The 14212-nt window shown below is 35.7% G+C and overlaps 1 protein-coding gene across 11 annotated transcripts in view; it reads right to left on the reverse strand.

Annotated features, from left to right (window-relative positions):
* DIAPH3 (diaphanous related formin 3) overlaps nt 1–14212 on the reverse strand; it is a 498346-nt gene that overhangs the window by 28450 nt on the left and 455684 nt on the right. Inside the window, exons 28-30 of one of the 11 annotated variants that reach the window (XR_002957480.1) lie at nt 4760–6049; nt 1994–3739; nt 921–1413 (exon numbers count right to left, since the gene is read on the reverse strand). The exons of 6 other annotated variants lie outside the window; for them this stretch is intronic. Coding sequence is in view for 1 of the 5 variants with exons in the window: in XM_024449422.1 (XP_024305190.1) it covers nt 5937–6049 (113 nt within the window). In the remaining 4 variants the exon portion in view is untranslated. Of the gene's footprint in view, nt 1–920; nt 6050–14212 lie in introns of those variants that run through there. 4 more of the 11 variants (XR_941672.1, XR_002957478.1, XR_002957477.1 and 1 more) reach the window with 4 other exon arrangements.

Raw genomic sequence — 14212 nt, forward strand, 5'->3', positions numbered from 1 at the left:
ACCAAAGTCACCAAATACTCCACTTTCAATTTGTCTACCATTATAAGAAAGGACAGATATGAAAGATATTATATATTTTTGTCTTTGAAATATTAAGAACCAATAGTTAGCCTCAGTGACATCAAGAAAAATAATCGAAGAATGGACTTAGTCAAGGTAAAATGAAATAGGAGACTGGTAAAAACTCAGATAATTGTGTATGACTCCAACCATCACAGGATACTCAAGATTTATTTGCTATAGAATGAAAATCTCGTCTCAGGTCAGGGTTTATTCCGAGAATAAGTGTATGAGGTTGATACACTGATTTTGGTCTAGTTTACTATAAAGGAAGTTATTTTACTCTTCATTTGTTGCACAGTTCTTAGTTGAAAAATTTAAAGCTTTTCATCCAAAGGTTAGATAATACATTACAGGAAAGCATAATTTCATAGTTTCTGAAATTAAATTTGTGTCTTAGTTGGGTACTTCAACAACTTAAGAAGAAAAGTCACTGAAAACATTATAAACTAGCTAATTTTTATAGCTTCTAAAACGCTTGATTGTTAAAATAAACAATGCTCTTGGGATGCCTACATTTCTGCTTAATAAAGTAAATTAGCCTTTATAAAGTTTCTTAGTGAACATATGACTTTAGTAAATGCTTCCTTTGTTCCTGGTTCTTGGGAAAATATTATTGAAAACACAAACAAAGTAAAAAAAAAGTTACAGTTGTAGAATGAAACAAAGTTGTTCAGTCATTGGAAACATCTGGTACTGAAAGTGGATTTCTTAATTATTGAGAGGGCCCTAAAATATAAATATTCACAGGTTCAAAAGAGTGCTGCCAAATAGGTTATCAAGCAAAAAATACGCAACCACCTGGAGAACAAAATCCATCTGTCTGACTGAATCTAGTTGAAAATAATTTTTTAGACTTGTTAGTAAAACCCTCATGTAAAATTTATTTGATTGAATAATTTACTAAGAATATTTCCATAAGCATCATAAAGTGCTACAGTCGATAAAAATGAATATACTAATCATCTTTCTAACTTTGAACCACTGCCATAGCTTCTAGTGCATATATTTTGTAGGTTACTAGTTAGGCTTCATTTGTACCTGTGATCTCAACTTGAACACAGGATTCCCATCAATAAAGTGTGGCCATCCCATTAAAGGCCCACTTTACAGGGAAAAGGGAGACAGTCTAATATTCCTGGTTGTAGCTGATATTTACTTGAAGGCAAGCAGCATAAATGTCTTTAAAGATGTGCACCCTGGTGCTTTTGTCTTCCCCAATGCTGGAACTCAGGTGATGGCAAAAGTTAGAATGAGGAATGCCAGGAGGAATAATACTAAATCTATATTCTCTCTCTCCTGGAACTTTTGTGCTTGAAAAGAACTTGCTGTTACAATCCAGATGGTTCCTCCCTTCAAACAGAAATAAAAGGTAGAATGCATTAAATGAGATAATACAATGCACAAAGCACAGTAGAAAAGTCACTAGACAAATATTAGTTCTATTAAATGGCCATGGTCTCCTCTCCTAAGTATCAGAAAACTGTAAAAGCAACATTCTTAACAAAGAAGAGAGATCTCCAGTCAGGTAAATGATCTGCTAAAAAGTGAAATGTCAATATACAACCAAGCTGGATTAATGGTTTTAATACTGAAATGTACACTTTACCCTTTCTGAAGACTAAAACATGTACTTAAGAAGTTAGTACTAAAACTTTTACCAGCATAAGAGTATTCCAACAAAAAAATTAAGTACTAGAATAAAATGACCCTTATCTAAATAAGAATGACAATTTAAGCTGAGTCAACCAATTAAAAAGATATGCACTGGTACCCTTTCTTCTAATTTAATAATATAAAAGAGGTCTTTAAAAAATTATTTGTTCTACCACCAAAACCTCTTAATGTGGTCATCTTTAAAAATAAAACAGTAGAACTAGAACTAAGTTAACATACACCGTTATATTCCAAACAAAGGAAAACAACAACTTACTAAATCCTCAAATGAAAGGATTGAAAGGTTGAGAGGTAAGGATGCAGCTCTTATCTTTCATTAAAAAGGATTTCCATTTTACTGCACCCAATCCCATTCACTAGCTTCTATTCAGATGACATGGTTCCGTTGATCTTATGCTTTTAGGCAGAGATCCATCAAGATAATCCACTAAAAATCAAAATGGCATGTTACTGAAATTAACAATCACTTTTTAGAAATAGCTCAATGGATTTCATATTATCTGGATTGATTTTTGAACATTAAACAACAGATGGATTTTAATAGTACAATATTAGAATATAAAATTTAGAGCAATCTAAAAACCCATCAGTTGCTATGATTACAGTATAAGAACATGTGGAGTTATTTCTTGGAGACAATGCCATGTTCTCTTACATCACAAACCTGTTACCATGACAGGGAGGACAAATGCCTGCTATATAGTGCTATGCATCCCATTACGGTGGGTTCATTCATATTTATACAGTCTGTGATGTTGATGCAATCACTTTAGATCTCACTGTTATTTCAAACAAATCCATAACTGAGCAAAAGGCAGGATGTTGACAGGCATTAATGTGGGTTTTATGCTGTTTACAATTGCTTTCTAATCTACTAAATGGCTGTGAAAATTGATGCACTTTTAAAAGTATTTTTATATACTAGTACAGACAAAGAGTTGGTTTGCAGTAATTTCTGTAATGCTAAATTGAATTTTCTATGGTGTTTTTCTTATTTGTATGTGTTAAGTAGGTTCCCGATTTTATGTAAATCATTAATAAACCAAAAACATCTTCTCATTTTATTAATTGACATGTATTTGCTTCTGCTTGCAGAAAGAAAGTAAAAGTAAACTTGTAATTCTATCCTAGTTAGTTGCAAAATAAACTTTTAATTGTATTTCAAATGAATTAGGGAATCATATTCCCAAGAGATTTGGATTATCCTATTCTAAACCTCTGAATCATTTAACTTGAGTAGGAACTTGACTAACACATGGTATGTTGAGGGCTTTATAACCTAATGATAGTTGTAAAAATTCAGAAATTCCAGCCTGAAATATTAGGAATAATACCTCCTCAAACTACTCCACATGCTGACAATAGGATAGGTAAGACAGCAGAAAGGTTTTTAGAAGAGGGGATTCAGGGCCGGGCGCGGTGGCTCACTCCTGTAATCCCAGCACTTTGGGAGGCCGAGGCGGGCGGATCACGAGATCAGGAGATCGAGACCATCCTCGCTAACACGGTGAAACCCCGTCTCTACTAAAAATACAAAAAAATTAGCCGGGCGTGGTGGCAGGCGCCTGTAGTGCCAGCTGCTCAGGAGGCTGAGGCAAGGGAATGGCGTGAACTCGGGAGGCGGAGCTTGCAGTGAGCCGAGATTGCGCCACTGCACTCCAGCCTGGGCGACAGAGCGAGACACTGTCTCAAAAAAAAAAAAAAAAAAAAAAAAAAAAAAAAAAGAAGAGGGGATTCAACTCATATACCAATATCTGTGATTATTTCATGTAATTTATTTAAATATCACTACAAATAAATACACTCTATGTGGATGGTCATTAAGTCATCGCAGCTACCAGGAAACTGCACTGCCTCTTTAGCTCTGACAGAGTTATTATTAGAGATATGTGACAGATCTAAGAATCATTCTTCCCTGTGAGGCCCACCATTGGAACAGCCTGGAATCTGAGGATGGGAGGTTGGGTTTTCACTTCCACACAAGCTATGAGAAAAAGATTACCTATTGATAAAAGGAAAGGATAAATGTTCAGGATGTTTAAAAACAACTTTAAATCATTCAACTAATTATCAGCTACTTGATTATTGTGCCAATGTCTTGTATTTCCCAGAAAAGGGTTAGATACAGTGAATAATTATGCTTTCATTTTAAGATGTTAATCATGTTTGAAAATAATAGTTGCTTTTACATTCAATTTTGTTCAGAAGTAAATAACACTCCTGGCATTTTTTTTACATTATCTTAAATTATGGTAGTCAAAGAAAGTTATGTATTGGTAAAAAGAAAACAAGAAAGTCCAATAAAATGCATATGCCCAAATGTGCATAAACTAAAGAATGCTTATTGTTCAACCACTAAAATATGGACAGCATCCTTTCAATGATCTGTCTTCTCTCTCCTCATACTTACCAATACATTTCATGCTTTTGTCATTTTTCCCTCAACAAGTCATGTTGACATTTATGAAGTACACCATGAAGAAAATTAAATAATTGCTTGCCTGATTACAATTTCACTCTGAGCTTAATATGAGATTTTAAGTCTTTTCCTTGTGGTAAACTGATCTTCTCAAGGACTTAAAATAACTTAAAATGATGTCTTTTTAGTGAGGTAACACAAGCCTATTTTACTGCCTCAAACAACTAATAAAAGAAAAAAAATAAATGAAGTAACAACAGACCTTCCATGACAACCTGCTACATTTGAAAATCAGAGCTACCAAACACAACAGTTGCTGAAGCAACCTGAATATAAAAATCCTATTTAACAATACTTAACTAAGCAAAAATCCCTTTCATCTATCTTTTTAAAATCTCTCTTGCATAAATATTAGAACAAATGTGCAAAAAAGTTGCTAAATTAGTGCATGAAAAAGTATTACCAAAAGGAATAGCACAATAAGCCATATTCCTGCTTCCTTAAAAAATAGGAAGTAAGCAATATTCTTATTTCCTTAAATCAGCTTGAAGTAATCTATTTCCTATGAGTAACACAAATACTGGATGGCAAGGATTAACAGACCTAAAAGAATTAGGATGGCATGGTGCAGTGGTCCCCAACTGCAGCTTACATGTGTTCACTGAAGCAAAATGAGAAAAATAATGATTCGGGAAGTTAAATTTATACAAATTTAAAATTATGTCCTCTCTCCTTTTTGGTATTAAAACATGCTAAGAGTAAAATATTAGTGATTGCAAAGGATAATCTTTAATACCCAATTATTAATTCAACAGATACTGAACTTCTAATATGGGTCAAGCTCTGTTCTAGGAATAGTAGACAACAAAGTTGAAAAGGTCCCTGGCTCTCATGGAGCTTATATTCTAGGAGTAAGGCAGGAGGCAGCTCACAAGAGACACACAGGTAAACACATATGTTATAGGGTGGTCAGTACATTGGAGAAAAAGGCAGTGTCAACATGCTGAGGGTTGTGGTTGCTACTTTACAAAGAATGGTTGGAGTAGGCCTCTCTCACAAAGGGATAATGGAGCAGAGATCTGTAGGAATAGATGGAGTGAGTATACATATATTTTGAAGATGTTCCAGACAGAAGCAGCAAGTACAAAGACTGATGTGTTCTGGGAATAGCAAGATGGCTGGGACAGCTGAAGGGGAGTGAGCCAGGGCTGGAGTAGCAGAAATGAGGTCAGAGAGATGATGGGGACAGATGGTTTGGCCCTTGGTCTCTTACTTCACTGGAGGGTTTTGAGAAGAGTTATCTCATCCAATCTGACTTACTAATTTATTTCCCTGTGTCCCACCCTTTTCAGAAACACTTTGGGGCACAGAATGATCTTAAATCCAGGTTTTATCAGAAAGTGATTTCAGTAATTCACTCCATCTTAATTTATAGCTGGATTTTCTCCAGGGCTTCCTTACAGGACTTTGAACAGTTTGGAATCAGAGCCCACTGGGGAAAGTCCATGCAGTGACCTCCTATGGACTGTTGGAGCTAAATTAGAATGATAGGCTTACATGGATTTTCTAATCTTTAAATTAGGTGGAAAGAGCTATTATTTTTCTTCCAAACTTGAGTATGCAGCTCATTCACTTCTCTTACCCTGGTGACACCCACCCTTGCTGCTCCAACCGCACACACACTCTCCCTTGGTCAACCTTAAATGTGAACACTTCCCTGAGGGAGAGAGCTTGAGGTCATCTGTCTCCATGGCTTAAACACAGGCTTCGGCTTCAAACTTTACTCCTCTGTGCTAAATACATTTCTGAGTTGCAAATCTCGGTTTCTATTTGTATATGGTGTATCTCCTTCTTGTTCAAATTCCTCACGTCTGAATGGACATTGCTTTTCTTCTGAAAGAAAAAACTTGCTTCTCTTTACATTCCCCATTTTAGTTAGCGTTACCACCATTTTCCCATTTAGCCCATTATTTCTACCATGGGGAAAGATGAAGGGGGAGGAAAGAGCAATTCTAATAATGATGTATCTCCCCATAGTATAACACCTAATTGCCCCCTTCCCTTTTATCCAGCAATTACTCAGCTGGAAACCTTTGTAATAGTAGTCAAATATTTCTCTGGTGGGGACTTCCTGTTTGGAGGACTCTGGAATAGAGGGATGAATGTGTGCTTGCAGGGTGAATACACAGACACACACTAATTCCTTTATTAGGCCACAGTGATATTTTTTCTGACAAGTATCCCCAAGAATGTAACATTGGAGGATGTGGCAGAGAGAGAGAGCTCACCAAATATTCTACGTACTTTCTTTCATTTCCCATATCTTTCTGAAATTAGGTTTAAGCCATGTGAAAATCTCTGGTTCATGGGTATGACGTAACTTGTGGAATATTTAGGGTGAGGTAGTTAAGAGTCAAAGTATCTCCTCCATGCCTCTTTCCATGGTGCAAAGACCATGATCTTCCAGAGGATAAAGCCAGTTGATGGGGGGAAGTTGCCTGACCCACACTGGACTTCATATGGGAAAGAAATAAACCTTTATTGTGTTAAGCCCTTGAGATTCTAGAGTTCATCTGCTATAACGGTAAGTCTTTATGCTGAATAATAAAGATTGCTTGGTTATCCTTGTTAAATCAACCATAAATGTTAAAGAGTAGATTATTTTAGTACTTCTGGCATTCGGTAATTTATCAAAAATCATTTCCGTTAATAGTTCCTTTTATTATTTTAAGATAATTAGTTCAGTAGTTTATTTACTTAGTAAAAGAAGCTACTCAGATTAAGTTTCAAGGATATTCATTTTTTATTTTAGTATTAGAAGATTTGGTATATCAGTCTTTACTAACACCATTTCTCTTACTGTATGTATATATACATTGCATGTATGTATATTTTATAATGTTCTCTCCCAGCCTCTGCCTCCAAGTCTAAAAAATTACACATTTAGAAATTGATCTTATCCTTCTGTTAATTTTAGTTGCGTGCATTCCATTGTACCTACCTTGAGGTATATCAAACTCATAGATACTGAATGTTCGCAATATGATATAACAAAGATCTTGGCCTTTGACATTTTTGGTAATTTTGACTGAAGGTAATCATTATACATCAATTAGATGCTCTCTCGCAAGCCATCTCTGAAATCCTTAGTTCCCTCCACAGTCTGAATCCAGTGCCTCTCTAGAGACATACACAGCACTTTGGCATAGAGGTGGGAACAGTGATCACATTGCTGCAAAAATGCTTGCTTATCTAGCTCCTTCCAAATTGTAACCTAGGTCAGTTTGAGGTCAGAGGCCAAGTGTGTCTTTATCTCTCTGTATTCCCAGCACGTCATATAGGTCAGAGTTCATAGCTGAAGCTCAATAAATATTTGTTTGCTCACTGAATAAATGAACTGAAGAAAATTATTTCTGAAATGTTTAGCTCATTCAAGACCATGACTTCCTATTGTGGGGGTTATGAGCTTTCTTTCCTAGGGAAAAGTTTCTTAACTATGATTAGATTCTCAAATGAATGGGGAAATCTTTCAAAAAGGCTAAAAGCCATTGCTTGAAGATCACATACACACATACATAAACATACTAACTCAATGGCCATACATACATCACTGCATTCTTACCACCCTGTATTCATCTGCCCACCTGCACAGATCTGCAAGGTCTTCCCTGGGCAGCGCTCCAATTTATTGATTCTTTCCTACTAGAAAGTTTAGCGTTCCTTAAAACCTCTGATATTTGACTGAGTACTGCCTTTCTCCAGATTATTTGTAAAAGTGTTAAGTAAGCCTAGAGCTAATATCAATCCCTGAAGAAACCTATTCCTTAAACTTCTCAACCTTTTCTTCTTACTGTTTGTTTTCCTTTCCTAAGATAGTTCCTTTACTGTAAGTAAACCTCTCATCCAACCTCAACGAATAAAGATTTGTTATTATTTATTTTACCATCTTGGCCATAGTAATTGTATTTTTCTTACCTTTAATTAGGAAGATGATATACAACACCCAGGCATACTCAGCATTCAAATCTGCATTTGTGAGATGAAGAAATGCCCTAGCTTTCTAACTAGATGCCTTCTCATTACCTAACTTATAATGAAGACTGAGCCACTTGTCATAAAAGAAATTACGCTTAACTTACAAATTGAATGTGGTTATTTTCAGTCTTTAAAAAAAGAAAACAAAATGTGAGAAATCTGAAAATGAAGCGTTATATTGGTCTTGCTAGATATTATATTCACAGTGTGGAAAAGCTGTTTATTTAAAATATTTTATGCTGACAGAGCTTGATTAGGGGAAAAGGACTTCTGAAAATCAGCTTTAGAACACACGCACACAAACCTTCCCTGACCTTTCACACTGCACTTACAAAGGCATTACATGACTTTACCATTCAGTCTCTCTTAGGAAGTATTTTTATTTTCTTATTAACAGCAGTAGAAAAACCAAAGCTAATATTTAAGCCTTGAGATCCCCCTCCTTAAGATGAAGTGAGTACACAAAACATGAAAATATACAGTTATATTCTTTATCTCTAGATAAACTTCCAGAACTATATCAAGGCTTTATATGGTCTGGCCTCCTGTTGCTTCTCTGACCTAATCTCCTAGTTAATCCCTCTACAATATACCTACCTTCTTGCTGCATACAAGCACACTTCTGCATTGAGTCCCTATCCTTAAACTCCTTCCTGCACTCATGTGCAAGGCTCATTCACTTCCTCATCTCCTTTATGTCTGTCCTCAAACACTACCCTGTGGGGAAGCCTGCCTTCATCTCTCCATTTGAAACTGTATGCCCCTCATGCTCGCCACTACCAATGTCTGGCACTCTCTATCCCTTTTCCTAATCTTTAAAATAAATAAATAAATAAATATGGCTCTCCTTTCTTTTCTCTTTCTTTCTGGGATTCTCCTTATATACATGTAAAACTGAGCTGTCCAATATAGTAGCCATAGCCACATGTGATGATGGAGCACTTGAAATGGCTAGCTCAACTTGAGATGTGGTGAAGTGCAAAATGCACACTGATTTTGAAGACTTCGCATGAGTAAAAGAAAACAGAGTATCTGATTAAAATTTTCATATTAATTACATGTTGAAATAATACTTTGAATATATTGGGTAAAATAAATTATTAAAATTAACTTCATCTGTTTAAGTAACATACGTGTTCCACATTAGGAGTCTATCGGACAATGCAGTGTTAAACCTTTTTGTTGTATTGCATGTCCATTATACTTTTTTCTATATACAGCATCTTTTTTTGCTCTCTGCTTCTGCCTGGATATTTTCTGAGAGTCTTCCTGTTCACCTCTCCTGTTTTCTGCTTATCTAAACTGCTATTTTATCCAGCACTAAATTCTTAATTTTATAGTTTGTATTTTTCGGTTCTAGAATTTCCATTAGATTCTTTTGATAGATTCTTATTATTGGGTGAAGCACTCCCTCTTTTTATGTATTTTCTCTTCCTCTAGTTTCTGAAATATATTCATTTCAAAGTCCCTGTCTAGTAACTTCAGTATTTGGATCATCTAAATAACTATTTCTTGTATGCGTGTTTATGTGTGTGTGTCCAAATGTCCTATCTCTTAGCATGCCTAGCAGTGTTTTATTGAAATCTGGATATTCTATGTATATATTAAAAAAACAAAATATAAAAAGAAAACAAAAACCTAGGAGGCCCCAGATGATGTTGTCTTCTACCTGAGGATTCACTTTCTTCTGGAAAGAAAAGGTAAATGTCTTACTAATCTCCATCCAGTCAGGAACTGAGCTAACCCCAGGCTAAGTTGCAGTTTTAGCAAGATTGGGTCTATTTTGATTTGCTCTATTTCCTAGGGCACAGGCCTCCAGGGTTTTCGACTGATTGTCTGGCAGGTTATCATTTCCTCAGCAAAAATAGATCTTCTTCTTAGACTTCGTCTCTTTTGCAACCCCTCATCATCCACAGCTTCAGAATTCAGTAAATCTTATGAAGGGGAAATGGACTCTGTGCTGAGGCCCTTCAAGTTTCCCTTTTTGCCAGTCTGGCCCCACACAACTGCCGAAACGTGGCTGGCTTCTTGTCCCAAAGCGGTAGCCCTCTGCCTGGGGCCAAACCCAGATTGTCAATCTCTCGCCTTGGCAGCTGCAAGTATCTTCCTACAGACAGGTAGACTTTGCTCCAAAATTTAAGTTCCTCTGGTCCTCACTGTTTCCACAGCTCTTGGATGATCTTTGTTTCCTCTGGTATTCTAGTTGCTCTTGGCAGGAATGTTGATCTGCCACCCTCATACAGAAGCAGAAGCTTGCTGTGGTTATTTTTTTCTTAGCACTCTTTACCATCTAACATGCTATGTACAGTCATGTGCTGCAGAATGACACTTCAGTCAATGAAGGATTGCATGTATGATGGTGATCCCGTAAGACAAAACTGCATTTTTACTATACCTTTTTTATGTGTAGATATGTTTAGATACACAAATACTTACCATTGTGTTATAATCGGCTACAGTATTCAGCATAGTAACATGTTGTGCAGGTTTGCAGCCTAGGAGTAACAGGTTACACCAACAGTCTAGATGTGTAGTAGGCTATCCCATCTAGGTTTGTGTTAGGTATGCTCTATTATGTTCGCATGACAACGAAATCGCCTGACAACATATTTCATCGTTAAGTGCCGTCTGACTATATTTTATTTATTTAGTTTATCATCATCTTCCTTCAGCAGAATGTAACTTCCAGGAGGTCTAAGGGTTTGACTATTTTTTTCACAGCTGCACCCTCAAAAATGTGAAAAGAATTAGTTCCATAGCCATTACAATGGTAAGATAGGAGAAACCTGAATGAAAGTGATTATTAAATAAAAATGAACTGATTTGTCCTTCCAGTCTGACAGCCAAGAAAACAGAATTTTTTTTACCATAATTTACTAGGCTCTTCCTGTGTGCCAAACAGTGTGTGAGAGATTTGCATTCAAAAATGATTATAGCCTAGTCCTCACTCCAAAGAAACAGACCGGCAAAAAAAAATAGGGATTAAAAACAAAATAACCACCTACTTTCTTGACTCATGACAAGAGAGCCGCCATGAATTTTTAAACACATGGAGACCCTAATTAACCACAAACCCCTTCGAAAGTTTCTGTGGGAAGTTATACTCTTATTACTCCCACGGTGCCACTCAGATTCTACTCAGAACAATCTGCCAATTTTTCTATAATTGCCTTCAGGGTCTGTAGCATCTTTGTTTTCAATGGTGGCAAAAATTTTTCCCCCTGAAAGTAGATTTGACTTTAGAAACAGTCAGAAGCCCTTTGGAGTGAGGCCTGATAAAAAAGGAACCTCATAAAATCATTTCAGATCAATGAGAGAAAACCATAAAGTAAATGGGACTTCTTGTGTGTTTTGTAAACTGGCTCTGAAGGCAACTTCAAGAAACTTGAAAATACAGAAGCATGAAAATATTGTTGAAGTAAGTACGTTAGTGTTTTCTTTCATTATTTTAGTCTTATGGCTGAACATATAATTTTCAAAGTATACAATACACACTGAAAGTTAAGAATGAAAGAATATAGGGATCAACAACTAGTATATTGGGAATATAGGGAAATATATTACTAATTGTTATGGTAAATGAGATTATTGAGATTTCTCAAATCCTGTATTTCATGGTTTAAATGCACAACTTTCCTGTGCTGATATTACTAAGCAGGTTTTTAATAATGAAGAGTTCTATTTTGTGTTTCATGATAATTAACTATGTATATAATACTTTGGTTTTCCTCATTTACTGTTGTTATCTAGTAGGACTACGTAGACGTTTCTCAGTACCCATGGGGGATTGTTCTAGGACCTCCCAAGGATAACAAAATCCAAAGATGCTCTAGTCCTTGATATAAAATGGCACAGTATTTGCAAATAACTTATTCACATCCTCCTGTATACTTTAAATCACCTCTAGATTTACTTCTAACACCTAATACAATGTAAATGCTATATAAATAGTTGTTACACTGTATTGTTTAAGGAATAATAACAAGAAAAAAAGTCTGCACGTGTTTAGTACAGAGGCAATTTTTGAGTATTTCTTATCTGTGGTTGGTTGCGGCCACGGATGCTGAACCGCTGGATACAGACGGTCAACTGCACATCTTTTACATCATATAATTTTTGAATCACCCTCTAACATGAACTTGAGAACACATATAATACCAAACAATGGTGAAGAGAAAAGTAACTTGTTCCCATTTTCAGTTGAGGAGTTACTAGGTCAAATAGGGAAGAAGAAGGAAACGAGAAATATTAAGAATACAAATAAAATACAAACTAATATAAGCTACGAAACTGAAAGCTGGCTGCTCGTAAAGGTGATTAAGTTACTCTAATATATTGCTTAATGTATACTTTGTAAATGTTCTGACATTTTAATTTACAAACCCTACTATAGAACTCCAAATGATAAGACACTTTAAAGTGTCCATAACCCATACATAAGCTACCACTTTAAGAGACTATTTCTTTTATCTAGATCCTGAACAAAATAAGTTTTGACTGTGAATGGTCTGCTGTTAATAAGAGGAAATAAACTAGCCTCTGAGAGGTCAACTTTCTTTTGTCTCCTTTTTTTCTCTCCTGTTAGTCATTCTCAGATTACTATTAATAATTGTGATTGTCTATATTTGCATTTGTGGACAATCAAGATAGCCAAATTGATTTCTTCAAATGGAAAGTACTAACAAAAATATGTTGCTATTTTATAGTAATAACACATATTTTCCATGGGAATAGTTTGATTGGGTAGAATTGACACATGCATATAAATGCAAGGAATTAACTATGATTATATTATTAGCAGTTATTGTGGCAATAATTTCAGAAAATGGTTATATCCATCTGTCTGAGAAAACAGACTTTAACACAAAATGAAGTCATATTCATTACACGAAAAAAGTGATTAGAACCTAGTAGTAAAGCCAGCTAAATGCGTTTCTACTAAGCTCCAAGTTTAAGTTTTAATGCATTTTTAAATGTTTCTGGTCTCAAAACATTGAACAGCTGACAATTTCCCTCAAGAGAACAATACCTTGAGGGGAAAAGCAATTAGAATATGGATTGACCAGCAATCAGTAATCATTACTTGGTACATTAAATGTAGTACGCTGGCACCTGGTTAAGTAATTTAGAAACTGGTTAAGTATCTGGAAAACAGGTTTCTCAAGTTAAATGTGAAAGCTCACAGAAATAAAATGGACTTTCTCACAGTTACAACGTATCAAGAAGAAAACTGCAGAATAAGGTTTTAGAAAGTTAAAATTGGGTGAACATATTAAAGGGAATTGGAATCAAAGGGATTGAAGTAGAAAATCTGGTACTTCTGGGAGTTTAAATTCCCCAAAGTTTATAACTTAGAAGAGCTGATGATACATTTCATATCAAGGTTTAATATTTCTATGAAGGTGGTTTAAATATACTGTACGATTCGAAAAAAGCTTTTATTAAATTCTTAAACTGCAAGAGAAGAAATGAAAATAAATTACTAAGCCAGTGAAACAAGAACTTCTACAAACTCCCTTCACTGCTGACATCTTTCCACCTACATCACTTTGCCAGTAGACTCTACCTTTCTTCCCATTTCTACCGATGAACTGTCCATGCTCCAATAAGGCCAACTCCTCCTCTTGCAACCTAGACTTCATAATCTCTCATTCAAGGACAATGCTCCAACAATTTACTCATCTTTTTCTAACATACCAATTTCTCCCCACTTCATTTCATTATTCTCTCCAGCAAACAAACATACTATTTCTCTCATCTTTAAAAAAAAAAAAACAAAAAACCCTTCCCTTGATCCTAATTCCTCTTCAAACTACTAATTCATTTCTTTCCTTCCTTTCATTTTATTATTTTTTTAGAGACAGCATCTGGCTCTGTCACCCAAGCTGGTGTGCAGCAGCATCACCATAGCTCACTGTAGTCTTGAACTCAGGGGCTCAAGCGATCCTCCTGCCTCAGCCTCCCAAGTAGCTGAGACAACAGGTGAGAGCCACCATGCCAGGCTAATTAAAAAAAAAACGT

The sequence above is a fragment of the Homo sapiens genome, chromosome 13 (assembly GCF_000001405.40).
Source record: "Homo sapiens chromosome 13, GRCh38.p14 Primary Assembly".
Classification (NCBI taxonomy): domain Eukaryota; kingdom Metazoa; phylum Chordata; class Mammalia; order Primates; family Hominidae; genus Homo; species Homo sapiens.